The following is a 26,495-nucleotide window of genomic DNA, read 5'->3' as shown; positions in this document are numbered from 1 at the left end:
TCACTTACTGTATACATATATCTACTTTAGTATTTAGCATGCTACATTACAATTTATTTACAAATAGTTCTCTCTTACTAGACTGTCAGCTACTTGAAAACAGAAATTATGACTTCTTTATCTTTGTGTTCCTAGCACTTAGTGGAGGACCTGACATTTAACAATCTTTCATAAATACTTATTAGATAGATGAGGGAGAAAAGAAAAGAAACCAAGACTTTGACTTTTAAACCGTGCTTACTTCCTGAAATTGTGCACCCACTGGTGGAGCATATGAGATAATAGTAACATAAAGGTTGCAAATGTTACAAAAGTTAAGAGTTTAACTGTAGGGATTCAGATTTCTCTGGGTAGAGATATAAGGGGTGGCCCCAAGCCAAGTGCAGGCTGCTCCTTATCTTCCCTCTGATCCCTTGCAAAGTGAATCATCATCTTTGGTCTGTTTCATCTGTACAGTGACATTTACATCTTGGAAACCTGAGTTTGCACTTGGGTTTATTCATTCACCACTAACACATAGCAATACCTAGAACAACAAGATGGTCTAATCCCTTTAAGGTGTTCACATTCTATGAAAGAGACAGAAACAAAAACAGACAATTACAGCATTACATAATGTGCTAGCAAAATATAAGATTTTATACTTCCCTAACTGGCTTAGCCAGTTCATATATTAAGAAGGAGATGGGCCGGGCGCAGTGGCTCTCGCCTGTAATCCCAGCACTTTGGGAGGCCAAGGCAGGCAGATCACCTGAGGTCAGGAGTTGGAGACCAGCCTGGCCAACATGGTGAAACCCCATCTCTACTAAAAATATAAAAATTAGCTGGGTGTGGTGGTGTGTGCCTGTAATCCCAGCTACTCAGGAGGCTGAGGCAGATGAATTGCTTGAACCCAGGAGGCGGAGGTTGCAGTAAGCCGATACCGTGCCACTGCTCTCCAGCCTGGGAGATGGAGCGAGACTCCCTCTCAAAAAAAAAAAAAAAAAAAAGGAGGTGGGGCTGGGCATGGTGGCTTATGCCTATAATCCCAGCATTTTGGGAGGCCAAGGTGGGAAAATCACTTGAGCCCAGGAGTTTGAGACCAGCCTGGGCAACATAATGAGACCCTATCTCTACAAAAAAAAATTAAAAATTATCTGGGCATGGTGGCATGTGCCTGTAGTCCCAGCTACTCAGGAAGCTGAAGTGGGAGGGTCGCTTGAGCCCAAGAGGTTGAGGCTGCATCAGTGACCCATGATTGCACCACTACACTCCCGCCTTAGCAACCAAGCAAGACTCTGTCTCCAAAAAAATTAAAAAAGAAAGAAGTGTGAATCTTTGTGGCTCTGTGTAACCTTTTTTTCAGTATATTTTCCTTACTATTCTGGGGTTCTGATTCAGCTTCCCTATGATAGCTGTTGACCAAGCTGTATCCCAAAGGTGGGAGGGAAAGACAGAAGACTAGGCCGAATACGGTGGCTCACACCTGTAATCCCAGCACATTCGGAGGCCGAGGTAGGCAGATCACCTGAGGTCAGGAGTTTGAGTCCAGCCTGGCCAACATGATGAAACCGCCCCTCTACTAAAAATACAAAAATTCGACAGGTGTTGTGGCATGCTCCTGTAATCCCAGCTACTTGGGAGGCTGAGGCAGGAAAATCGCTTGAACCGGGGAGGCGGAGGCTGCAGTGAGCTGAGATTGCACCACTGTACTCCAGCCTGGACAACAGAGCAAGACTCTGTCTCAAAAAAAAAAAAAAAAAAGAAAGAAGACTCTACCAAGCCTAACCTAAAGAATTTGGTGCCCTGTTGCCCTCAGATATGAATGAAAGCAGACCCCCTGTGTACCAGCATGTACCTGTGGCTGCAGGCTCCCCAAACAGCAGTGAGTCCTACCTGTCATTGGCCCTGGAAGTTGCACTGATGGGCCTGGGTCAACAGAGGTTAATGCCTGAAGGCCTCTACGCACAGGACAAGGTATGCCGTAATGAGGAGCAGCTCCTGAGCCAACTCCAAGAGCTGCAGCTGGACGATGAGCTAGTGCAAACACTGCAAAAACAATGCATCTTACTGCTGGAAGGTAAGTAGAAAAGAGTCTCTTGTCACGGTGTCTTTGGCCCATGACCCTGAGCTCCCCTCTCCAATAGAGTACAAGTACAGGAACATTTATGACATTAAAATGTAGTGAATGAAGGTTCCCATGATTAGCAAACATGCATGAGATACTGGGGCTCAAGTCCAGGCTGGCAGATGGAAGCATACAGATAAATAACTGGCTGGCTTATCTTCCTCCAGGAGGTCCTTTCAGCGGTCTGGGAGAAGTCATCCACCGAGAGAGTGTTCCCATGCATACCTTTGCCAAGTATTTGTTCTCAGCTCTGCTGCCTCATGATCCAGACCTGTCCTATAAATTAGCCTTACGTGCCATGAGGTGGGTAGCCCTTTCCCAGTCCAATTGCCTCCACCAAAGCAGAAGTGTCCAGTGCTCTTTTTCATTGCTTATTTCACTTTCTTTTCTTTCCCTCTTTGTCATTCTGTTGGACCCGCTACCAAGTGTACCTTAAAATGGCTCAGATATTTTTATATGATCTAGGATTCATATCTGGATTCCTTGTTGGTGACTTGGTTCCCTGGCAGTACTCATGGTTGATTGTCTGAGGAAGCCCCTGAGATGTTAATAAATAAGGAGCACTTAAGACCTGAGTCTTCCTGTTCAGTGGTTATTCAGGCAAGCTGAGAAGGGGTCTGAGCCCTTCTGTAGTTCAACTCAGTCAAGGTTCCCAGGCACAGGTCCCCAGAAGAAGCTGGGGGAAGTAGAGATAAATATGTTTACCCCAAGACTTGAGAACAATGAGCTATGGGCATCTTGTTTCCAGGCTAGAATAGGATCCTTGGTTTAGGCAGTTAAACCTCTGGGATGTAGCAGACTATACAGAAGAAGAATTTTAGTCAGACTGTAAGGCTGGGAGAATACCTTAGCTAAAACAGGAAATTCCTTGGCATGTATTTCTTATACTTTTAGAAATAACCAGGCTGGGTACGGTGGCTCAAGCCTATAATCCTAGCACTTTGGGAGGCCGAGGCAGGTAGATTGCTTGAGCCCAGGAGTTTGAGACCAGCCTGGGCAGCATGGTGAAACCCCATCTCTACAAAAACAAAAAATACAAAAATTAGCCAGGCATGTTGGTGCACACCTGAAGTCCCAGCTACTCAAGAGACTGAGGTGGGAGGATCGCTTGAGCCTGGGAGGTCGGGGCTGCAGTGAGCTGTGATTATGCCACTACACTCCAGCCTATGCAACAGAGAGAGACACTGTCTCAAAAATAAATAAAATAAACAACCCTATGATTCTTTTTAAAAATGTATTAACTTTTCTCTCTTTTTACAATATATCATACTATTCAACCCGATAGCTCTTGAACGGCCTTTCACATCCATTTGTAGTGGAAACTATTCAGCGTTGAGTACTCTTAAGTGCCCAGGCACTCACCTCATATAGTGTATAGTACCATAGGTTTAAAAACCTTCAAAGCTCTTAGTTAATCCTTTCCTCTCCCCAGTTCCTCCCCAGCAAAGAGCAAGCTTCTCTAAGGTGGCTCGGAAGCCCAGGGTCTGGATGGTGGCTGATGATTCTTCCTGGGTCTTCCAGGTTACCTGTTTTAGAAAACTCAGCTTCTGCAGGCGACACATCCCACCCTCACCATATGGTGTCTGTGGTGCCCAGCCGTTATCCTCGCTGGTTCACGCTTGGACACTTGGAATCACAGCAGTGTGAACTGGCCTCCACCATGCTGACTGCTGCCAAAGGTGAGCATAGATAGACCTTAAGCTCCAGCATCACCCGTCTGCCTGCCCAACCATGGCATGTCAAAGGCTTGGCCTGCAGTCTCCTGAGAAAGAGAAGCTCCTTGACCATTTAGAGTGATAGTGGTCCTCACTTTGATTGCTGCCATTAGAAAGAGCACCTGGCCAGGCGCGGTGGCTTACGCCTGTAATCCCAGCACTTTGGGAGGCCGAGGCGGGAGATCACGAGGTCAAGAGATCGAGACCATCCTGGCCAACATGGTGAAACCCCATCTCTACTAAAAATACAAAAAGTAGCCGGGCGTGGTGGCGGGCGCCTGTAGTCCCAGCTACTCGGGAGGCTGAGGCAGGAGAATGGCGTGAGGCAGAGCTTGCAGTGAGCCAAGATCGTGCCACTGCACTCCAGCCTGGGTGACAGAGCAAGACTCCGTCTCAAAAAAAAAAAAAGCACCTGGATCCAAGCCAAAACTTTACCCTAGTTACTAATTGTAGGATACCAAATATGTAAAATTAAATGATCTTTAAGGTACTTCTAAGTCTAACCTTCTGTTTGATAAAATCACTTCACCTTTCTACGCCTCAGTTTCAAATCTATAAAATGGGGATCATTGTCAATGACCTGTCAGCCTCCCAGGGCCACTGGAAGATCTAATGAAGTGATGACTAAGATAGAGCTGAACTCCTTACAGATATAAGAGTTGGTGATTTTTTTTTCAGTGCCCTGGTAAAAGATAGGCAGTCCAAAGTGATTCTCAGGCCTTTAAGCTCACATACATCCTGTTAGCTATGCAGGTTTCACCACAAACAGAAGTGAAAGTAAGCCCCTATATAAGAAGGAGCTATGATAAAATGCTAGCCACCATGAGCTCCTGAATATTTTAGACCAGGAAACTACATGGATTTTGAAGTTATTTTTTAATTAAAAATAACTTTATGTGGTATCTTCTTATTGTCCCCCCAAAAATACATGCTTATTAGAGAAAAGGTAAAAGTTACATATAAATTAATATAAAAATGATCAGCAAACAAATACAAAAATAGAACAAAGCATATGATCAGACAGTTCACAGAAAAGGAGATACAAATCGTTTTTAGACAACTAAAATACCTGGTATCACATTAGAAATACAAATTAAAATTAGCCTGAGATAACATTTTTTACTGATCTTATTGGCAAAAAACAAATCTGATAATGTGCATTCATGTGAGGAGTGTCAAGTGGGGAGTGGCGGTAGCCTGCATGGAGTATCAGATTCCAAGCAGGATAAGGAGGAGGACTACAGATCTAAGGAAATCAATGAACCACAAGCATAATAAACATGAAGAAAACTATACCATGGCACATCATAACCAAAATGCTTAAAACCAATAATAGAAAATCTACTTAAAAGCAATCAGAGTAAAAAAGATACATTACAAAGGACAAAAAAACAAGTATGGGAACAGATTTCTCATTAGAAACAATGTAAGCCAGAAAACAGTGGGAAAAAAAACCCTTAAAGTACTTTAAAAAAAAAAAAAATTATCAGGCCAGGCACGGTGGCTCACACCTATAATCCTAGCACTTTAGGAGGCCAAGGCGGGCAGATCACTTGAGATCAGGAGTTTGAGAACATCCTGGCCAACATGGTGAAACCCCTGTCTCTACTAAAAATACAAAAATTAGCTGGGCGTGGTAGTGCACACCTGTAGTCCCAGCTACTCAGGAGGCTGTGGCACGAGGATCGCTTGAACCTGGGAAGCAGAGGTTGCGGTGAGCCGAGTTGCACCACTGAACTCCTGCCTGGGTGACAGAGTGAGACTCTGTCTCAAAAAAAAAAAAAAAACAAAAACTGTCAAACTAGAATTTTATACCAATGAAAATATATTTCAGAAACAAAGATGAGGCCAGGTGCAGTGGCTCACACCTGTAGTCCCAGCACTTTAGGAGGCCAAGGCAGAAGGATCACTTGAGACCAGGAGTTTGAGACTAACCTGAGCAACATAGCAAGATCCTGTCTTTACAAAAAATTTTAAAAATTAGCCAGGTGTACTGGCAAGCACCCGTAGTCCCAGCTACTCAGGAGGCTAAGGCAGAAGGACTGCTCAAGCCCAGGAGTTAAGAGACTACAGTAAGCTACCATCATGACACTGCACTCCAACCTGGGTGACAGAGCAAGACCCTGACTCTTAAAAAAAAGAGAGATGAACTAAAAATCTTTTTCAGACAACCACAGTTCAATTAGAATTCGATAATAAAAAGATATTTTAAAATATCTTAAGTTTTTGGAAATTAAACCACATACGTGTATATTACTCATGGAGCAAAGAAAAAAATCACAAGAAAATTAGAAAATCTTTTGACTATATGAAAATGAAAGCACAAGTCAAAATTTGTAGAATGTAGCTAAGGTTTTACTTATAAATTTTTAGCAATAAATGAAAAATGCTTCAAATCAGTGATCTCAGATTTCACTTTTTTTTTTTTTTTTTTTTGAGATGGAGTCTTACTCCGTTGCCCAGGTTGGAATGCAGTGGCGTGATCTCCGCTCACTGCAAGCTCCACCCCCTAGGTTCATGCCATTCTCCTGCCTCCGCCTCCCGAGTAGCTGGGACTACGGGTGCCCGCCACCACGCCCGGCTAATTTTTTTGTATTTTTAGTAGAGGTGGGATTTCACAGTGTTTGCCAGGATGGTCTCGATCTCCTGACCTCGTGATCCGCCCACCTCAGCCTCCCAAAGTGCTGGGATTACAGGCGTTAGCCACTGTGCCCAGCCCAGATTTCACTTTAAGAAGTCAGAAAAAGAAAACCCAAGGTAAGCATAGGGAAGGAAATAATAAAAATGAGAGCAGACAGGTGCGGTGGCTCATACCTGTAATCCCAGCACTTCGGGAGGCCAAGGAAGGCAGATCACTTGAAGCCAGGAGTTCGAGACCAGCCTGGCTAACATGCTAAAACTCCATCTCTACCAAAAATACAAAAAAAAAAAATTGCGTGAGCATGGTGGCATGCGCCTATAATCCCAGCTACTCGGGAGGCTGAGGTACTATAATCATCTGAACACAGGAGGTGGAGGCTGCAGTCAGCCAAGATCACACCACTGCCCTCCAGCCTGGGCAACAAAGTAAGACTCTGTCTCAAAAAAAAAAAAAAAAAAAAAAAAATCAGAGCAAAAATCAATGAAATAGAGAATAATCAATGAAACCAAAAGCTGATTCTTTGAAAAGATCAATTAAGGCTGGGCACGGTGGCTCACGCCTGTAATCCCAGCACTGTGGGAGCCGAGGTAGGTGGATTGCTTGAGGTCAGGAGTTAGAGACAAGGCTGGCCAACATGGCGCAACCCTGTCTCTACTAAAAAATACAAAAATTAGCTGGGCATGGTGGTGGGTGCCTGTAATCCCAGCTACTCAGGAGGCTGAGGCAGGGAGAATTGCTTGAATCAGGGAGACAGAGGTTGCAATGAGCTGAGATCGTGCCACTACACTCCAGCCTGGAGGACAGAGTAAGACTCTATCTCAAAAAAAAAAAAAAAAGAAAGAATGAAAACATAAATCAAATTTAAATCCCTGTCTAGACTGATCAAGAAAAAAGGAGATAAAAGGCAGAAATGACCAATATCAGGAATGAGAAAGGTGATATCACTACAGATTCTAAAGACATCAAAATGGTAATAGGAGAATATTACAAACAGCTTTATGCCAGTAAATTCAACAACACAGATGAAATGGACTAACTCCTTCAAAAACAAAACTGTCAGAGCTCACTTAAGAATAAATAAAAGCCAGGGCCAGGCTCAGTGGCTCACGCCTGTAATCCCAGCACTTTGGGAGGCTGAGGCGGGCGGATAACCTAAAGGTAGGAGTTCGAGACCAGCCTGGCCAACATGGCAAAACCCTGTCTGTACTAAAAATACAAAAATTAGCCGGGCATGGTGGCACATGCCTGTAATCCCAGCTACTCAGGAGGCTGAGGCACAAGAATCACTTGAACTGGGAGGCAGAGGTTGCAGTGAGCCGAGATTGCGCCACTGCACTCCAGCCTGGGCGACAGAGCAAGATTCCATCTCGATCAATCAATCATTCAGTCATTAAAGGCCAAAGTGACTCACACCTGTAATCCTAACACTTTGGGAGGCTGAGGTGGGAAGATCACTAGAGGACAGGAGTTTGAGACCAGCCTGGGCAACATAGTGAGACCCTGTCTCTGCAAAAATTTAAAAACTAGCGGGACAAGGTGGCACCCCCCTGTAGTCCCAGCTACTCAGGAGGCTAAAGCAAGAGGATTGCTTGAGCCCAGAAGTTTGAGGTTACAGTGAGCTATCGTGCCACTGCCTGGATGAGAAAGTGAGACCCTATCTCTAAAAACATAAACAGGTAGGTGGGTCGAAAAAAAATGAACCAGCTATATGTCCAAAAGAATTGCAAGCAGGAACTCAAACAGATAGTTGTACATTTATAATAACATTATTCATAATAGCCAAATGTTCATCAACAGATGAATGGATAAACAAAATGTGGTATATATAGACAATGGAATATTATTCAGCCATAAAAGGAATGAAAGTCTGATACATGGTACAACATGAGTGAACCTTGAGAACATGCTAAGTGAAATAAGCTAGACACAAAAGGATAAAGATCGTATGATTTTGACTTACATGAGATACCTAAAATAGCTGCAGTCGGGAAATATCAATGGATTCAAAGCTAGTGCATGAACATTTGAAAAACAGGATATTCATATAGTCTCAAGGTATCTCTTCGCAAAATATTTACCAATCATAAAGGAAAAATGTATAACTTTACAATCGAAACCTGGCCAACACCACTTTAATCAACTGATCACAGTTAATATCATCAGAAATGAAGTAAAAAACATGGATTACCTGATAGGAAACAATAAGAACTCAGCATCACTTCTGTGACATTACAGCCAAAAGTGCAAATGTACATCTAATAAGGAAACATCAGGAATACCAAATTAAAGGACATACTACAAAATAACTAGCCTGCAAAAGTGTCAAGGTCATGAATGTCAAGGAAAGATGGGGAAATTTTTCCAAATTGAAGAAGACTTAAAGGCACATGACAAACTAAGTGCAACACATGAACTTGTATAAAATCTTTTTGCTATAAAAGACATTTTGGGGACAATTGGTGGAACTTGAATGAGGTCGGTGGTAGATGGTAGGAATATATCTGTTAATTTGCTGCTTTTGATGGTTGTCTTGTGGGTGTAGGAGAGTGTCTTTGTAGGAAATACACACTACAATAGTCAGGAGTGATGGGGCATCAAGTCACTTACTTTCAAATGGTTCAGAGAGAAGAAAAAACATCTCTGTTCTATTCTTCAAACTTTTCTGTAAGTAAAATTATTTCAAAATAAAGGATTTGTTTTAAATTTTATTTTTTAGTAGAGACGAGGTCTTCCTATGTTACCCTAGCTGGTCTTGAACTCCTGGCCTCAAGTAATCCTCCCACCTTGGGCTCCCAAAATGCTGGGATTACAGGTGTGAGCCACCACACTTAGCCAAGGAAAATTATTATTTTTATTTATTTTTTTTTATTTTTATTTTTTGAGACAGAGTCTCGCTCTGTCACCCAGGCTGAAATGAGTGGCGCGATTTCAGCTCACTGCAACCCCTGTGCCCGGAGTTCAAATGAATCTCCTGCCTCAGCCTCCTGAGGAGCTGGGACTACAGGTGCCTGCCACCATGCCCAGCTAATTTTTGTATTTTTAGTAGAGATGGGGTTTTGCCATGATAGCCAGGCTGGTCTCAAACTCCTGACCTCAGGTGATCGACTCACCTCAGCCTCCCAAAGTGCTGGGATTGCAGGCATGAGCCACCACAGAAAATTTTTGATGAAAAAGTGTGTTGACAAAGGTGTGGAGAAACCTTTTTAAAACTCAACTATATGTTGTCTATAAGAAACCCACTTTAAAGACACAGATAGATTAAAAGTAGAGATGGAACCAATAACCTAAATGTAAGAGCTAAAGCCATAAAACTCTTACATGAAAACATAGGAATAAGTCTTCATGACCTTGGGTAAGCCAATGGATTCTTAGCTATGACATCAAAAGCATGAACAACAAAAAAAATATAGATAGGTAAATTAGACTTCATCAAAATTTAAATCTTTTGTGCATCAAAGAACATTATCAAGAAAGTGAAAAGAGCAGCCAGGCGTGGTGGCTCACCCCTGTAATCCCAGCACTTTGGGAGGCCAAGGTGGGCGGATCACCTGAGGTCAGGAGTTCGAGACCAGCCTGGCCAACATGGCAAAACCCTGCCTGTACTAAAAATACAAAAATTAGCTGGGTGTGGTGGTACATGCCTGTAGTCCCAGCTACTCGGGAGGCTGAGGCAGGAGAATCACTTGAACCTGGAGGGAGAGGTTGCAGTGAGCCAAGATCATGCCATTGCACTCCAGCCTGGTCAAGAGAGTGAGACTCCATCTCAAAAAGAAAGAAGAAAAAGAGAAAAGAGCCAGACATGGTGGCTCACACCCATAATCCCAGTGGCTTGGGAGGCTGAGGTGGGAGGATCACTTGAGCCTGGGAGGTCAAGGCTGAAGTGAGCCATGATCACACCACTGCACTCCAGCCTAGGCAAGAGTAAGACCTTTTCTCAAAAAATAGGCCAGGTGCAGTGGTTCATGCCTATAATCTCAGCACTTTGAGAGGCCGAGGCAATCATATGAGGTCAGGAGTTTGAGACCAGGCTGACCAACATGGAGAAACCCTGTCTCTACAAAAATACAAAAATTAGCTTGGCATGGTGGCAGGCGCCTGTAATCTCAGCTACTCAGGAGGCTGAGGCAGAAGAATCACTTGAACCAGGAGGCAGAGGTTGCAGTGAGCTGAGATCGTGCCACTGCACTCCAGCTTAGGCGACAGAGCGAGACTCTGCCTCAAAAAAAATTAATTAATTAAAAAATAAAAATAATTATAAAATAAAATCAATCATCTAAGTTTGCACATTAGTAAAATAGAGAAAGAATAAATAACAATCAGTTTATAAGTTAAACTTCCACATTGGGGAAAATAGCGAAAGAAGAGCAATGTAAATCTAAGTTAGCAGAAGAAAATAGATAACAAAAATTAGAGCAGAAATCAGTGAAATTGAAAGTAGAAACAGTAGGCAAAAATCAATAAAAGCAAGACCGGTTCTTTGAAAAGATCAATAAAATTGATAAACCTTTAGGCTAACCACGAAAAAAAAAAAAGAGGAGATCTAAATTACTCATATCATAAATGAAAGAGGGGCCATCAGTACTGATCCCCATGAACATTAAAAGGATAATAAAAAAAAAATTTGAACAACTCTATGCCCACCAATTTGATAACTTAGATAATTAGATGGACCAATTTCTTGAAAAAAACAATCTACCAAAACTCACAGAAGGAGAAATAAATAATCTGAATAGGCCTATATTTGTTAAAGAAATTGAATTAATAATAACCTTCCAAAACAGAAAGCGCCAGGCTCAGATTATTTCACTGGTGAGTTCTACCAAATATTTAAGGAATAAATGGTACTGATTCTCTAAAGTCTCTTCCAGAAAATAGAAGCAGAGGAAACACTTCCTTACTCTATGAGGCCAGCATTACTCTAAAACCAAAACTAGATAAAGACATTACAAGAAAGGAAAAGTACAGATCAGTATGACTCATGAGCATAAATGCAAAAATCTTGAACAAATTTTAGCAAATCAAACCCAACAGTGTATAAAAAGAATGAACCACAAGTAGGATTTATTTCAAGTATGTAAGTTGTCTCAACACTTGAAAATCAATGAATGGAATCCGTTAATTCCATTAATGGAATTTATTCTTTCCACAGGCAAAGAAGAAAAGTCATTCATCAGTAAATGCAGGAAAAGCATAACTGACACCCATTCATAATTTAAAAAAAAAAACCCTTAGCAAACTAGGAATAGAGGAGAACTGCCTCAACTTGATAAAGAATTTCTACAAAAAAACCTACAATTACCGGCTGGGTGTGGTGGCTTACACCTGTAATCCTAGCACTTTGGGAGGCCAAGATGAGAGAATCGCTTGAGCCTGGGAGTTCAAGACCAGCCTGGATAACATAGCAAGACCTCATCGCTACTAAAAAATAAAAAATAGCCAGTTGTGGTGGGCACACTCCTATAGTTCCAGCTACTTGGGAGGCTGAGGCAAGAGAATCACTTCAGCCTGGGAAGTCAAGGCTGCAGTGAACCATGATTGTACTACTGCACTCCAGCCTGGGCAAAAGAGCTTAAAGATAAAAAATAAAACCTACAACTAACTACCATTATACTTAATGGTGAGAAACTAGATGCTTTCCCTTTAAGATCAGGAATAAGACAAGAATGTTCCCTCTTGCCACTTTTATTCAGCATCATACTAGAAGTTCCTAACTAATACAATAAGATAGGAAAAGGAAATAAATGATACACAGATGCTCCCTGACTAATGACAGGGTTATGTCCCAATAAACCCATCTTAAGGTCAAAAATTCTTAAGTGAAATCATTGTAAGCCAGGGATTGTACATATTGGAAAGGAAGGGATTGTACATATTGCTCACAAATGACATGATTGACTATGTATGAATCCCAAAGAATCAATTTTTTTAAAAACTGGAACTAACAAGTAATTATAGCAAGTTTGCAGTATATAAGATTAATATACAAAATTCAATTGCTTTCCTATATGCCAGCAAAGAACAATTGGAATTTGAAATTAAAAACACAGTACCATTTACATTAGCACCCCAAAAATGAAGTACTTAGGAATAAATCTAACAAAATATGTATAAGATTGATATGAGGAATACTGTAAAACTTGGATGAAAAAAAATCAAAGATGATTTAAATAAATAGAAATGGTCCATGTTCATGGATAATAAGAATGTGTATTAGGAGGTTAGTTCTTCCCAATGTGATCTATAGATTTAACACAATCCCAATCAAAATCCCAGCAATTTATTTTGTGCATATCAACAAACCCTTTCTAAACTTTGTGTGGAAAAACGAAAGACCTAGAATAGCCAACATAATATTGAAGAACAAGTCAGAGGCCTGACACTACCCAATGGAAACACTTACTATAATATTAATCAAGACAGTGTGGTACTGTTGAAAAACTGAGAAACAGATCAATGGAACAAAATTAAAAGCTCAGAAATAGACTCACACAAATATAGTCAACTGATACTGAGAAAGGAGCAAAAGATTGTCTTTTCAACAAATGGTGCTAGAAAATCTGGACATTCACATGCAAAAAGAAATTAATATAGACACTGACCTTAGACCTTTCACAAAAATTAACTCAAAATGGATCATAGACCTAAAGGTAAAACACAAAACTATAAAATTTCTAGAGGATGGCCGGGCGCAGTGGCTCACACCTGTAATCCCAGCACTTTGGGAGGCTGAGGCGGGCAGATCATCTGAGGTCAGGAGTTCAAGACCAGCCTGGCCAACATGGTGAAACCTCATCTCTACTAAAAATACAAAAATTAGCCAGGCATGGTATCACGCATCTGTAATCCCAGCTACTCAGGAGGCTGAGACAGGAGAATATCTTTAACCCAGGAGGCGGAGGTTGCAGTTAGCCAAGATCGCACCATTGCACTCCAGCCTGGGCGACAGAGTGAGACTTGGTCTCAAAAAATAAATAAATAAATAATAATAATAATTCTAGAGGATAATCTAGGAGAAAATCTAGGTGATTTGGGGTTTGACAATGACTTTTTAGATACAACACCAAAAGCACAATCATGAAAGAAAAAATGAGTAGTTGGAATTCATTAAAATTCAAAACTTAAACCCATGAAAAACTGTAAAGAGGCCGGGCTCAGTGGCTCACGCCTGTAATCCCAGCCCTTGGGGAGGTCGAGGCAGGTGGATCACCTGAGGTCAGGAGTTTGAGACCAGCCTGGTCAACATGGTGAAACCCTGTCTCTAATAAAAATTTAAAAAGTAGCCAGGAGTGGTGGCGCACGCCTGTAATCCCAGCTACTCGGGAGACTGAGGCAAAAGAATCGCTTGAACCCAGGAGGCAGAGGTTGCAGTGAGCCCAGATCACGGCCATTGCACTCCAGCCTGGGCGACAAGACCGAGACTCCGTCTCAAAAAAAAAAAAAAAGAAAAGAAAAGAAAGAAAAACTGTTAAGAAAACAAAAAGACAAGCAGAGACTGGGAGAAAAATATTTGAAAAAATCTGATAAAGGACTTATATCCCAAATATACAAAAAACTCTTAAAACTCAACAATAAGAAAACAACCCAATTTTAAAATGGGCTAAAGATCTGGAGAGACACCTCACCAAAGAAGATACACAGATATCAAACAAGCATATGAAATAATGCTCAACTTATATGTCATTAGGGAATTACAAATTAAAACTACAGTGAGATATCATTACACAGTACTAGGATGGCTAAAATCCAAAACTGATAGCACCAAATGCTGACAAGGATGTGGAGCAACAGCAATTCTTATTCATTTCTGGTGGGAATGCAAAATGGTACAGTTACTTTAGAAGACAGTTTGGTCTTTTTTTTACAAAGATCAACATAGTATTACTGTATGACCCAGCAGTCATGCTCCTTGTTATTTAACCTATTTGAAATTATTTGAAAACATGTCGACACAAAAGCCTGCACATGAATGTTTAAAGCATCTTTATTTATAATTGCTCCAAACTGGAGGTAACCAAGATGTTCTTCAAAAGGTGAACGGATAAATAAATTATCGTATATCCATAGAATTGATTATTATTTCTAAATAAAAAGACATGGTTTCTCAAGCCACACACACTCAAAAAAAAAAAAGAGACATGGAAGTTTTGGGTGTAAACTCTGAGGGGAAAAAAAAAAAGATATGGAGGAAACTTAAATGCGTATTGCATGTTGTAAGAAGCCAATCTGTATTATCACACTAGTCTTTAAGTTAAAAAAAAGAAGAAGAAAGAAAAAAGCCAGTCTGAAAAGGCTACTTACTATATGATTCCAAGTATATGATATGCTGGAAAAGGCAAAACTATGAAGACAGTAAAAAGATCAATAGTTGCCAGGGACTTAGAGGGAATGGAGAAAGAGATGAACAGATAGAACACAGGAGATTTTTAGAGAGGTGAAACTATTTTATATGACACTGTGATAGTGGATTAATAGCATACATTTGTCAAAACCCATACAACTGTATAACACAGAGTGAACCCTAATGTAAACTGTAGACTTGAGTTAATAATATATGCATATTGGTTCATCAAATGTACCACACTAATAATTATGTACAATCAGCCCTCTGTATCTGTGGGTTCTGCATCTGTGGATTCAACCAACCATGGATCAAAAATATTCAGGAAAAAAAACTCCTCAGTGTTCCAAAAAGCAAAACTTCAATTTGCTGGGCACAAGCCACTATGTTGAATCCACGTGTAATGATGTATAGGCATTGTATTAGATATTATAAGTAATCTAGAGGTGATTTAAAGTATATGGGAGGGTATGATGGTAGGTTATGAAAGACTTGAGCATCCTCAGATTTTGGTATCCAAGGGAAGTCATGGAACCAATCCCCCACAGGTGCTGAGGGATTTCTGTATTAATATTGGTTTACCAAATATACCACATTAGTATAAGATGTTAATAATAGGGGATATATGGGAACTCTCTGTACTATCTGATCAATTTCCTGTAAACCTGAAACTACTCTAAAGACACAGTCTATTAACTTAAAAAACTGTTTTTAAAGATGATAGAAGAATAAAGGGAATCTCTTGCATAATCCTGGCACCCAAAAACAACTATTAATAAGACATTGGCATAAATATTCCTGGAGATTTTCTATTCATATATATGCACACACACTATGTATCTTTTTTTATAAAAATAGAATCATAGAGGTCAGGTGCGGTGGCTCACACCTGTAATCCCAGCACTTTGGGAGACCAAGGCGGGTGGATCATGAGGTCAGGAGATCGAGACCATCCTGGCTAACACGGTGAAACCCCATCTCTACTAAAAATGCAAAAAATTAGCCGGGCGTGGTGGTGGGCGCCTGTAGTCTCAGCTACGCGGGAGGCTGAGGCAGGAGAATGGCATGAACCTGGGAGGCGGAGCTTGCAGTGAGCCAAGATCGCGCCACTGCACTCCAGCCTGGGCAACAGCACGAGACTCCGTCTCAAAAAAAAATAAAATAAAATAAAATAAAGTAGAATCATAGAATATTACAAATTTTTTATAATTCTCACAACAATTGTTTCCATTTTATAGATGAAGTTATTGAACTCTTATTTATTTTTTTTTTTTTGAGACGGAGTCTCACTGTGTCACCCAGGCTGGAGTGCAGTGGCCCAATCTTGGCTCACTGCAACCTCCGCCTCCCAGGTTCAAGCTCTTCTCCTGCCTCAGCCTCCTTAGTAGCTGGGACTACAGGCTCACGCCACCATGCCTGGCTAATTTTTGTATTTTTTTAGTAGAGACGGGGTTTCACCATGTTGGCCAGGCTGGTCTCGAACTCCTGACCTCAAGTGATTCACCCACCTCAGCCTCCCAAAGTGCTGGGATTACAGGCGAGAGCCACTGCGCCCAACCTGAAGTTGTTAAACTCTTAAATGGCTGAACCAGGTTCGGTCCCCAATGTGTTTTATTCCAAAGCCTGTAGTCATACCATTCCTTCTCTTTGACTTTATCAGCAGTTACAAAGCAAAACATAAGGCCTACTTTTTGTTTTATCTTTACTTAATGTATTTGTCCTTTATAAGATATAACAGTCTTTCATACACTACTGCCTTCATCCAGCAACCTTCACCTCATATGATGTTATATTCCTTAACTCTTTGTTTTTTGTATAGAATCCCTGCCTATTGAATAAGAAGTGGTGGCCCCGCTCCTTTTTGCCCCAGGGTGCTGTAGTGAGAAGCAGACAGTGGGACTGCCGTTCTTTTTTGGCAGTAATGTGACTTTCTGTCTACTGTATAAGTAGCTCTGGAAATTAAGGTGTTCAAGAAAATTATTTCTGGTACCTAAAGATCCTGAGGGTTGCCCGGCGCAGTAGATCATAGGGTCAGAGATCGAGACCATCCTGGCTAACACGGTGAAACCCCATCTCTACTAAAAATACAAAAAATTAACCGGGCGTGGTGGCGGGCGCCCGTAGTCCCAGCTACTCAGGAGGCTGAGGCAGGAGAATGGTGTGAACCCGGGAGGCAGAGCTTGCAGTGAGCCGAGATCAAGCCACTGCACTCCTGCCTGGGCAACAGAGCAAGACTCCGTCTCCAAAAAAAAAAAGGATCCTGAGGGTAGAGGGTATTAGGTAGAGACAGATGAAAAGGTGGAGAGAATAGGATTCACATGGGGGTCTGGGGAAGGAAGGAGCCTCAAATGTGATTAGTGGAGACAGCTCGATAACCCAGAAGGGGCGGTAGCATTCAGAAGCATTCAATGAATTGATAGCAGCCATTTCAATGAGTATCTATTGCAGTCAGCTGACTGTTTAGTAAAACTTTAAAATAGACCCTGCCCCTTCTCTTGACACCTATAGGAGACACTTTGAGACTCCGAACAATTCTGGAAGCAATACAGAAGCACATTCATTCTTCCTCCCTCATCTTCAAACTGGCCCAAGATGCATTCAAGATTGCTACTCCCACCGACAGTAGTACTGACAGCACCCTGCTCAACGTTGCCCTGGAACTTGGGTTACAGGTATGGAGGAAGAGTAGGCCATCCACAGTTTAGACCGCTGACCTAGTGACAGTTGGCAGAAGATAAGATCTCTGGGAGACTGGGCATAGGCCAAGTCTGGCTCTTCCTTTGGGCCCAGAACACAAGTTCTAGGCTAGGGAAAAGGCAAGGATTTCATAAATTGGGCTCCACTTTTAAGTTAAGGCCAGAAGCAAGATAAAGCTTTAGGCTCCCTGGGGTCCCTATCTTCTCTCTACCTCCCCATTTCTACAAGTCAAGCAAGGTATGATAATAAGGACTTTGCTGCAGATCATCAGAGAAGCTTCCTATCTGATTGGTGGGAGGGCTGGGAAAGAAATTAACTGTATTTTATGTTTATCAGCGGAGAGACCACTGTTTAAAGCACCAGAAAATATTTGTCGCATAAATGAATGCAAGGGGAGGGAGAGGTCACAACAGTTAGGCATAGCCCACTGGAAAGGCCTCTTTTGTGCCCAGGTGATGCGGATGACCTTATCAACCCTTAACTGGAGACGCAGGGAGATGGTACGATGGTTGGTGACCTGTGCTACAGAAGTGGGTGAGTCTCCCACCTCCCTCTACCCCCAGGGGAAAGGAGTTTCTAGGCCCTACTCTTGGGACAGGACAATCAATCCTTAGAGCTCTCATATTCCTATGAGATCTTAGGTCCATCAGGAGATGGCCTAAGAAAGGATGGGGCTGCTGGTAGGAGAAGGTGGCCTCTGTTCAGCCAGCCCAAGCCCTGTCTTCACTGCTTGAACCATATCCTGATGTCAGCAGCCCTTGATCCTCTCAACAGAGACATGTCTAAGAGAATGAATTTTCAGTTGCTACTCAAGTGCTCCCTTGGGAGGTAGTGGGCCCAGTGGTTTGGTCCCCATCCCTGTGCATGCTTGTAAAAAACTCCAGACAACTTAGAGGCTCAGGACCCTTTCTAAAGCCCAAAGCCCCAGCACAAGACTCTACCCTGAGAGGCCCCACTTCAGCTAGAACCCCTGGCAGATCTGTAACCCATGCCTCAGGGCAAGCAAACCCCAGGCTCTACTGTCCCATCCTTGTGAGGGGCTAAGAGCACCTGCAGAAACCTTCAACTCTCTGACCTGGGGAAAGAAGGGATAGGAAGAGACCCCAAACAGGGTCTGGCCATCTGGGATGCTCCCCTTGCCCTGGTTTGCCTCATATCATCTCAAGGTTGCTGAGGAGGAAGAATTCATCTCTGCAGGCCAAGTTCAAACCCCAAATGGTAATCTGGGTAGACCTGAATCAGGACCCAGATGGCCACGGCTGAGCTCAGGCTCCCCCTGACAGGTGTGCGGGCCCTGGTGAGCATCTTGCAGAGCTGGTACACACTCTTCACCCCTACTGAGGCTACTAGTATTGTAGCTGCCACAGCCGTATCCCACACCACTATCCTGCGCCTCAGTCTTGACTATCCACAGCGGGAGGAACTGGCTAGCTGTGCTCGCACACTGGCTCTACAGTGTGCTATGAAGGATCCACAGAGCTGTGCCCTGTCAGCCCTTACACTCTGTGAGAAAGACCACATTGCCTTTGAGGCAGCCTACCAGATTGCCATTGATGCTGCTGCTGGTGGTATGACCCATTCACAGCTGTTCACCATCGCCCGCTACATGGAGCTCCGTGGCTACCCGCTACGTGCCTTCAAGCTGGCCTCATTGGCCATGAGCCATCTTAACCTGGCCTACAACCAGGATACTCACCCAGCCATCAATGATGTGCTCTGGGCTTGTGCTCTCAGCCACTCTCTGGGCAAGAATGAGCTGGCAGCTCTCATCCCCCTGGTGGTGAAGAGTGTGCACTGTGCCACAGTGCTTTCAGACATCTTACGACGCTGCACAGTGACTGCACCTGGCCTGGCCGGCATCCCAGGCCGCCGAAGCTCTGGAAAGCTCATGTCCACTGACAAAGCTCCATTGCGCCAGTTGCTGGATGCCACCATCAATGCCTATATCAACACTACACACTCACGCCTAACACACATCAGCCCTCGCCACTATGGAGAGTTCATTGAGTTTCTAAGCAAGGCTCGGGAGACCTTCCTGCTGCCCCAGGATGGCCACCTGCAGTTTGCCCAGTTCATCGACAACCTCAAACAGATCTACAAAGGCAAGAAAAAGTTGATGCTGCTGGTGCGAGAGCGCTTTGGCTGAGAGAGCAGATAGCTCACTGCCAGAGCAGCCTGGGTTCCCAGGTAGTATCAGGTCAGGCCAAGGGCACTGAAACATTTGTCCACCCTGAGAGAACTCTGAGCACCTGTGGATGAGGCCAAAGGACCACAGGGCTAAGGATGGGGAAAGTCCAGCTCTAGTCGATAATGCCTACCTTGGCAAGCTTCTGACTACAGCCTACTGTTCATGGAGGAGCTGGGCCCTGCAGATCGACCAGAAACCCCACAACATGCCACCTCATGCCCCTATATCCTGCGTGTCCTGAGCATTGGCCCTGTCTCCCTTGGCAAACACAGAACACTGTTCCATCTCAGGGATTGCTTAACCAGAGAAACAGACACATTTGTGGGACTGTAAATACTATATGTGTTGCTAATTATTGTAAACTTGTAACTATTTATAATTCTGCTTCTGATTTGATGGGCACTTGAAGTAGCTGTGGGTAGGAGGATATGCTTATTTTCTGAGGAGACTCACAACCATTTCTCAGGTTTCCCTTGCAGAGTGTTTGCTGGTAGCAGTGGAAGAGTGGGGGTGCCAAGGAGAAAAATGGCCAGTTAGGATCAACCCAAGTCTAGTCTATGCAGAATCCCCCACCTACAGACAGGGCATTTATAGTCCAGTGGTGAGTGAGGGACAGAGGCCAGGACTGGACTTAGACTTTTGCCTCACAAAACTGTGAGGACATTGAAGCTCCTGCCTCACACAGCCTCTTCAGGAGCCTGCTGAACACCTGAGAAACAAGTGCAGGGAGAAGATGAAGGTCTGGGAAGCCGCTGAGTTCATAATATTCATCTACTGTGGTCACCTTTGTGTTAGCAAGTGTGTGGTTTCATCTATAATTGTGTGTGTGTATCTTTATGGCTAAGTACATGTGTGTATGTACATAGATACATCTGTGCATGCCTGTTTGTGCACATATATATTTATGTGTATGTGTCAGTTCTATGGCTGTGTACCTGTTTGAATATGTGCACACTGGACTGTGAGTTTCTACGTGAGGATATACACATTTTGTGTACATGTGAGGATGCACATCTTTGTGCAAATGCACTCATGTTTGTGCATGTTTAGTATGTGTATCTGCGTACACGAGTGCATGTGTATAAACATGTTTGTATCCATGTGTATGCTTGTTATCCATGCATCTGTGTCTTTATATGTGTAACTGAGCGTATTTCTACATGTAGGGATGTCTGTGTATTCATGTTTGAGGATCTGCATCAATGTGTCCTTTTTGCCAGATTTCTCTTTCCCATTCCTCTTAAATCTCTCTCGCCAGCTAAACGTTTGTTCCCCATCTCTGTGCCTCCTCTATTCATTCTCTCACCAAACAAGCTTCTAAGCACCAATCTCCCTCTGCCATCAGATTGGCTGCTTTAGCTCCATAGTTCTCTTCTCGCCTCATACTTGCTTTCTTCCCCTGCCTTTCTACCTCAAGCTTCCTCGCCGGCTTTTGTCACAGTCTCATTGCTCGCTGACTTGGAGGCTAGGGCTGGTCTGCACTTAGCCTCTCCCTTCCTAATTTCTAGCCCTAGTGGGCAGTCCTGTCTTAGCCCTGGCTGACCTCCATAGTGTATCATGTTCCTGCTACCTTCCTGACCCCTGTGCTCAGCCTGGAATTGTTATAGGAGGTAGCAAGGGCACTCAGAAAAGTCAGTTGGAACCAGTGTCTTGGTGTTTACTGTTTCATGTCTTAGTTCCTGAGTTGGGGGTGGGGTTTGATAGGGAAGGGGTGGTATAGCTAGAATGTGAACTAAGAACTTCTCCATCTGCTTTACTTTTTCTTTCTTCGACAAACTGTCACCTTTTTTACTCCAAACTGACCAAGAAGTTGTATTTGCCATTTGTGGCTACTCAAGTCTTACTGTCCAGCCAAGGGCCCCTACGTCTCAGCCCAATGGGTTGGTTAAAAAAAAGAGAGAAGCCACTCTCATTTCTGTATCACAGTTGCCCTTTTTTAGCAAGTGTGTGAATTCACAGTGCTTTTCTATGAATAAATCATGGATCACATAAAAGATCATTTTTCTAAAAGCAGAAATTGTGTTCTCTCACTAAATGAAACCCATCTCTCCTTTCTGCATTGCCCTGGCTGGGCCAGGGAGCTGGTTCAGCCTACAGCACAGTGGGTGCCTAGTGGTCTAAGGAGATGCAGAATGACTGACAGATAAAGAATTTCTTGCCATACCAGACCCTTCCCCAGGGCTTACAGACACCTCAGAGCCTTGTCCTGGGAAGCAGGTACCACCAGGAAGGGTGGAATAACCAAGATCTTGAGAAAATTAAAGGGGATGCTCAGAAAAGAATATAAAGCAACCTTGAGTTGCCAGAGGGTCTTTTGGTTTCAGAGGACTTCTTGCTTTGGTGATGATCGACTTGTCTAAAGCTCCAATCCTAAGCAACCTAGCTCTGAGCTTTCATGTCCTCTATATATTTTGGTGTCAAAGCTGAGGGTCCCTCAGCTTCTCCCTGCTTGCCTAGACTCCATCTTCTTCCCCATGCCTCTCTGAAGTGTTCTAACCCCTTCTGTGCCCCTTTTTGATGTATACTTCCCTTTCTCCCCAGACATAAAGCCCTATCAATTTGGCCTTTGTATGTTGTGAGGACCCCACCCGTTTTTCTGCAAATGTCACAACCTGAACTGCTAGGAAAGCTCTACCCTACCCCATGTAGTTCTGGGACTTAGGTATCTGAGAGTAAGATGGGAATGAGAATCCTTAAGTGCTATAGTACATATTCACTGATACCTAACCCCCATGACTTGTGAAGAGGATATAGAGAGGGTTCCCAGGGAAGGAGCAGAGGCTAAGAAGAACTGAGGATATGGGCACAATCTTTCACAAACAAAACTACACAATAGTTCAACTCCGAAACTTTTATTGTCCTGGAAACGATCAATCATCTGTGTTAGTGGTACTTGAGGGTAAAGGTATACACTCAGTTCTGTCGAAGCAGACGTGAGTGTTTATGCACAGCATCCACAAAGGCGCCCACATGTTCTGGGTCCATGTCAGGATAAAGCCCATGGCCCAGGTTGGCAATGTAGCGATGTGGTCCAAAGTCATCCAGCATCTGCTTCACCAACTGCCCGATCTCCTCCTGGGGGACCAACAGGGCACTGGCTACAGGAGGACCAGCAAGCCTTTGTCCTCCCTATATATACTAGTGACAAACGCATATGTAGGCATGCTTCTACTCAGTGTTATTCAGTCATTCAATAAAATTTATCAGATCCCTAGTATGGACCCAGGCATGAAGCATAAACACAAATGAACAACAGCAACAAAAAGTCCGGTCTTTCTAGGGCTTATGTTGTACAGAGTAGAAGAAAAGGACAGACAGACATTAAAAACAAGTGCACACAGAATAATACAGCCACAGCCACAGGAGTGCACAGTAACAGACACACAGAGGGGCCCTGGCTGTTACCTCAGATGCATACAAGGCACAGGGGTCCAGGTTGCCCTGCAATGTCACCGTCTTCCCCACACACTCCCTGGAAGCAAAGCCAGCGCCACGTTCTGGTAACTGCATACATGGCAGCTCCCCCAGCCAACACCCCCACCTCAACCTCAAGGCCTCACCCTTCCATGGCTTACCGGGCTTTCTTTGGGGCCACTGTCCAGTCAAGCCCAACCACCTCATAGCCAGCTTGGGCCAGCTCCTCCAGGGCAAAATGCCCATCCTTAGCAAAGATGATCTAGAAAAAAGCAGATCTCAGGCTACAGAGGGCCTTGCTACAACCACTAATCTTTCTTGACTGTACTTCTGCTGCCCTCCAGTGGTCACTCCAGTCCATGCAGGACTTAGCCTGAAAGCTCCACAGGACCACCTTCACTCAACCCATCCCAATCCTCACCATGGGCACTGGTGCCAGGCCTGCCTCCCGCAACCTGGCCTTCACTTGCTTGGCCACATCACGGATGTAAGGCAGTGCAAACTTGTTGAAGAGCTGTGGGCCAAGATGCCCTGCATGGGACTCAAACAGCTGCAATGCCTAGTTAGGGTATGGTGAAGAAAAATATGTAACACACAAAGAGGAAGTTTCCCCCACATACAAAATCCACCTCAATTTTCCCCAAATGACTTCAATCCCTGATACTGCCTGACCCTAAAAACCCAGTAATTAAAAAAAAAAAAATTTACTTTCCTCAGATCCCAGCACTAACTTTGGTGTCTGAATACTTAGAGCATTAAGCCCCACTGTCAGTGTCAGGATGGGCTTGGCTGCTCCGCTAGATCACTGGAGGCCAAGGTTCTTTCATCCCTGGCATTAAGACCCCTGCCCTCTCAGGTTTAGGACACTCTTGCTTCTGGTCCTTACAGACCAAATCCCAGCCTATTTCTCTCTCTCTCAGGACTCACCTGGGCACCAGCCACCACTTGTCCTACCAGATATGGGACCAGAGCATCAGTGAGGATGCGAAGCAGCTGGTGACTAGCCTGAGGTCTCTGATAGAGCCAGCGCTTGGCCTGAGCCATGGTGCTTGAGCCACCACCCTCAACCATGTATGTCATCAGGGTCCACTAGAGAAGGATAGAAAGATGGTGTCACAGAAGCCAGACTGACCCTTCCTTTTGTCTACCCCAGACCTTCCAGAGTGATCTCCCCGCGCCCCGAGTCCCTGCCCTGTCCCACATTACTGGGGCACCAGCAAAGCCAATCAGCGGCACACGTCCAGCCAGTCGTTGTCGGGTAAGGGTGATGGCTTGGAACACATAGCCTAGCTCAGAGGCTACCACTTCTGGATCCCGTAGGCGTTCTAGGTCCTGCTCTTCTCTTAATGGCTCTGGGAAGCTGGGTCCTTTGCCAGGTACCATGGTCACCTCCATGCCCAGTGCCTGGAGGGGGAGAAAACATCTGGGTTCCCAAAATGGAATCCAGGAGGAAAGGTTCTGTTCAGCTCATTCCAGGAGGAAGGAAAAGGAGAATAAAACTCTGCCAAACTCCATTTCTTTCAACCTTAGTTTTTCCCTCGATCCAGTTAGGATAAGTGCTTATTGTAAACCTTGACTGGACTGATAGAAGGATTTTCAAGGCGTCCTTGGATTATATTCTAGGATCAGGTTTGAGTGGGTACCTGGGGTACAACAAGGATGTCGGAGAAAATGATGGCAGCATCCAGAGGGAAGCGACGCAGTGGCTGTAGGAAACAGGAGACAGGTTGCTAGGTGGCAGACTGAAGGCATAAATCTTTCCCTCTTTTGTGGACCCCTCACCTGCAGAGTCAGTTCACAGCAGGCCTCAGGAGAGCGACACGTGCTGAAAAAGTCCTGGGCAGCCCGGGTTTCCCTAAACTCTGCATACAGAGGGAAGACAGGGCTCAGCCTTGAGGCCCTCCAGAGCCCTCCCCTGCCCCTCGAAAACTTTTCTCCCTCCGGAGTTTTATCTAGATTTCCAGACCCTGACTCTTACCTGGTAAGTAACGGCCTGCCTGGCGCATGCACCAAACGGGAGTGTAGTCTGTTTCCTCTCCCCAGGCTGCTCGCAGGAATGTGTCATTCTTCAGCTCCGGAAAACCCTGAGGTCTGGCGATCAGGTGGGGGTGGGGGTAGGTGTCAGTATGCTACGCTGGAGGCTGGGGAAAGCGCGGGTTCATAAGGCCGATTCAGTCCAGGACCGCTATCTACCTCCTCCAGGCCAGCTCCCAAACCCTGGCTTTCCGCCCGTTCCGCCTCCTCTCTGCCTATCAGGTGGTGCACAAACTCCAGAAGGGCCCGCCCTGGGGCCTCTTCCCTCCACTTAGTCTCTACTCTTCCAAGCTCGAAGCAACCAGAGGGACTGGGGGGAGGGAATGAAGGCCCACTAAGGATAGTTTGGGGGTCTTCGAACTAGTGAGCCTCAGAAACGGGAATGTCACTGGGCTGGTTCAGGGGCTGAGAAATACCCAGGCTGGGGGATAAAGAGGGATCAGAGTTGATGGTCCCAGAATAGAGATCCTGGTTGGAAATCCTGAGGCATCCCTTGAATTAAGGCCCTGGGATGAACATCTCAAAAATCCATGGTTTTAGGATTCAGGATCCCAGCTAACGGAGTTCAGGTTGGGAGGTCTCCAGGGTGGGGAAAGGGGAGTAGAGGGATAGAGTCCTGAGTTGGAAGACTCAAATTAGAAGCCCGGCTAGCCACACCGCGTGCTCTGGAGAACTCACCCCAACCCATTCGCTTCCATGGTCAGCTGTCTGTAACTGCGAGCTCAATCCACAATTTAACCTGAATCTGAGCCTGCCCCCCAGTCCAGGCTCCGCCCCTTTCTGTAGGGAACCAAGAGCGTCGCCATGTTGAAGATCACATGATCGGACTCCAGCGACAGCTCCAGGGCTGCCCTGGCTGCTGCCCGTAGGACCCCTACCTTTTTTCACCGTAAAGTTTGCTGTAGCGACGCAACAACAAAGGCCCAAAAGAAAACTCCGCTGTAAATGTATCTTACGGTGACATGAGGAATTTGTTCTCATCTGACAGTCTGGGTATCCGGAGGCTTGGCGCAAGTCCCACTCATGATACCAACAGTCTTATCCAGCCAGGTCCATACTATAGCCTGGACCTATAGTAGGTGCAGAGGTTAGCTCTGCTCAAGACAGCCCCAGCCTTTAAGGAGCTACAAGACTGGGGAAACAGAAATCAGCAATCACATTAAAATGAATAATGATCTCCAGTGTCCTTGGGATTAGGAGTGACAAACAGAATCAACCCTAATGACTCAAGACTCCTGTCAGTGGCAGGGGAAGGGGCCATTGTCTCAAACACTTTAATCACACCACCCATAGGATAGGGAGTCCAGCAGATTCGCTGGGAGTGGGAGGAAAAACAGCAGGCCGAAGAACCAGAAAAATGA

General features: G+C 44.4%; 2 protein-coding genes across 8 annotated transcripts in view, besides 3 other annotated features; one reads left to right on the top strand and one right to left on the bottom strand.

Moving 5' to 3' along the window:
• ZSWIM5 (zinc finger SWIM-type containing 5) overlaps nt 1-21,699 on the top strand; it is a 190,207-nt gene extending 168,508 nt beyond the window's left edge. For 2 of the 3 annotated variants that reach the window (XM_047426192.1, NM_020883.2), the window contains 6 exons: nt 1,799-2,059; nt 2,275-2,410; nt 3,629-3,786; nt 17,310-17,473; nt 17,951-18,032; nt 18,782-21,699. In XM_047426192.1, the coding sequence (XP_047282148.1) occupies nt 1,799-2,059; nt 2,275-2,410; nt 3,629-3,786; nt 17,310-17,473; nt 17,951-18,032; nt 18,782-19,644 (1,664 nt within the window). In that variant the 3' untranslated portion in view covers nt 19,645-21,699. Of the gene's footprint in view, nt 1-1,798; nt 2,060-2,274; nt 2,411-3,539; nt 3,787-17,309; nt 17,474-17,950; nt 18,033-18,781 lie in introns of those variants that run through there. The other variant, XM_011541861.4, reaches the window with a different exon arrangement.
• UROD (uroporphyrinogen decarboxylase) lies at nt 22,523-25,844 on the bottom strand. Of its 5 annotated transcripts, none has more exons than NR_158184.1 (10): nt 25,813-25,844; nt 25,079-25,241; nt 24,883-24,962; nt 24,744-24,806; nt 24,307-24,523; nt 24,028-24,189; nt 23,522-23,659; nt 23,262-23,362; nt 23,092-23,158; nt 22,523-22,761 (listed from the first exon to the last, which is right to left on the bottom strand). NR_158184.1 is itself a non-coding variant. In NM_000374.5 (10 exons), exons 1-10 carry the CDS (start codon nt 25,830-25,832, stop codon nt 22,600-22,602), a joined length of 1,104 nt encoding a protein of 367 aa, NP_000365.3. In that variant the 5' UTR covers nt 25,833-25,844; the 3' UTR covers nt 22,523-22,599. The 5 variants fall into 5 exon arrangements, 2 of the variants coding, with proteins under 2 accessions (NP_000365.3, XP_047285914.1); NR_036510.2 differs by having other exon boundaries at nt 24,307-24,504; NR_158185.1 differs by having other exon boundaries at nt 25,079-25,191.
• Nucleotides 23,801-24,337: an enhancer, noted in NCBI's record as "H3K4me1 hESC enhancer chr1:45479433-45479969 (GRCh37/hg19 assembly coordinates)". NCBI's record gives its function as "activates a minimal SCP1, AML or CMV promoter by ChIP-STARR-seq in naive H9 embryonic stem cells {active_cell/tissue: H9 hESC(naive)}" and the evidence as "EXISTENCE:reporter gene assay evidence [ECO:0000049][PMID:30033119]".
• Nucleotides 25,748-25,877: an enhancer, noted in NCBI's record as "active region_959". NCBI's record gives its function as "activates an Ori minimal core promoter by ATAC-STARR-seq in GM12878 lymphoblastoid cells {active_cell/tissue: GM12878}" and the evidence as "EXISTENCE:reporter gene assay evidence [ECO:0000049][PMID:35858748]".
• Nucleotides 25,918-25,967: an enhancer, noted in NCBI's record as "active region_958". NCBI's record gives its function as "activates an Ori minimal core promoter by ATAC-STARR-seq in GM12878 lymphoblastoid cells {active_cell/tissue: GM12878}" and the evidence as "EXISTENCE:reporter gene assay evidence [ECO:0000049][PMID:35858748]".

Source organism: Homo sapiens, chromosome 1, assembly GCF_000001405.40.
Source record: "Homo sapiens chromosome 1, GRCh38.p14 Primary Assembly".
In the NCBI taxonomy this organism is placed as follows: Eukaryota; Metazoa; Chordata; class Mammalia; order Primates; family Hominidae; genus Homo; species Homo sapiens.
The sequence above is the reverse complement of the archived record's forward strand: the minus strand, read 5'-3'. Positions and strand labels throughout refer to the sequence as shown.

Coding starts and splice junctions, on each gene's coding strand:
- UROD (NM_000374.5), bottom strand. CDS start 25,832: ATGGAAGCGAATGGGTTGGG. Junction 24,807..24,882: donor GCTGTGAACTGACTCTGCAG/GTGAGGGGTCCA, acceptor TGTTTCCTACAG/CCACTGCGTCGCTTCCCTCT. Junction 22,762..23,091: donor GTGCCTTGTATGCATCTGAG/GTAACAGCCAGG, acceptor TTGGTCCCCCAG/GAGGAGATCGGGCAGTTGGT.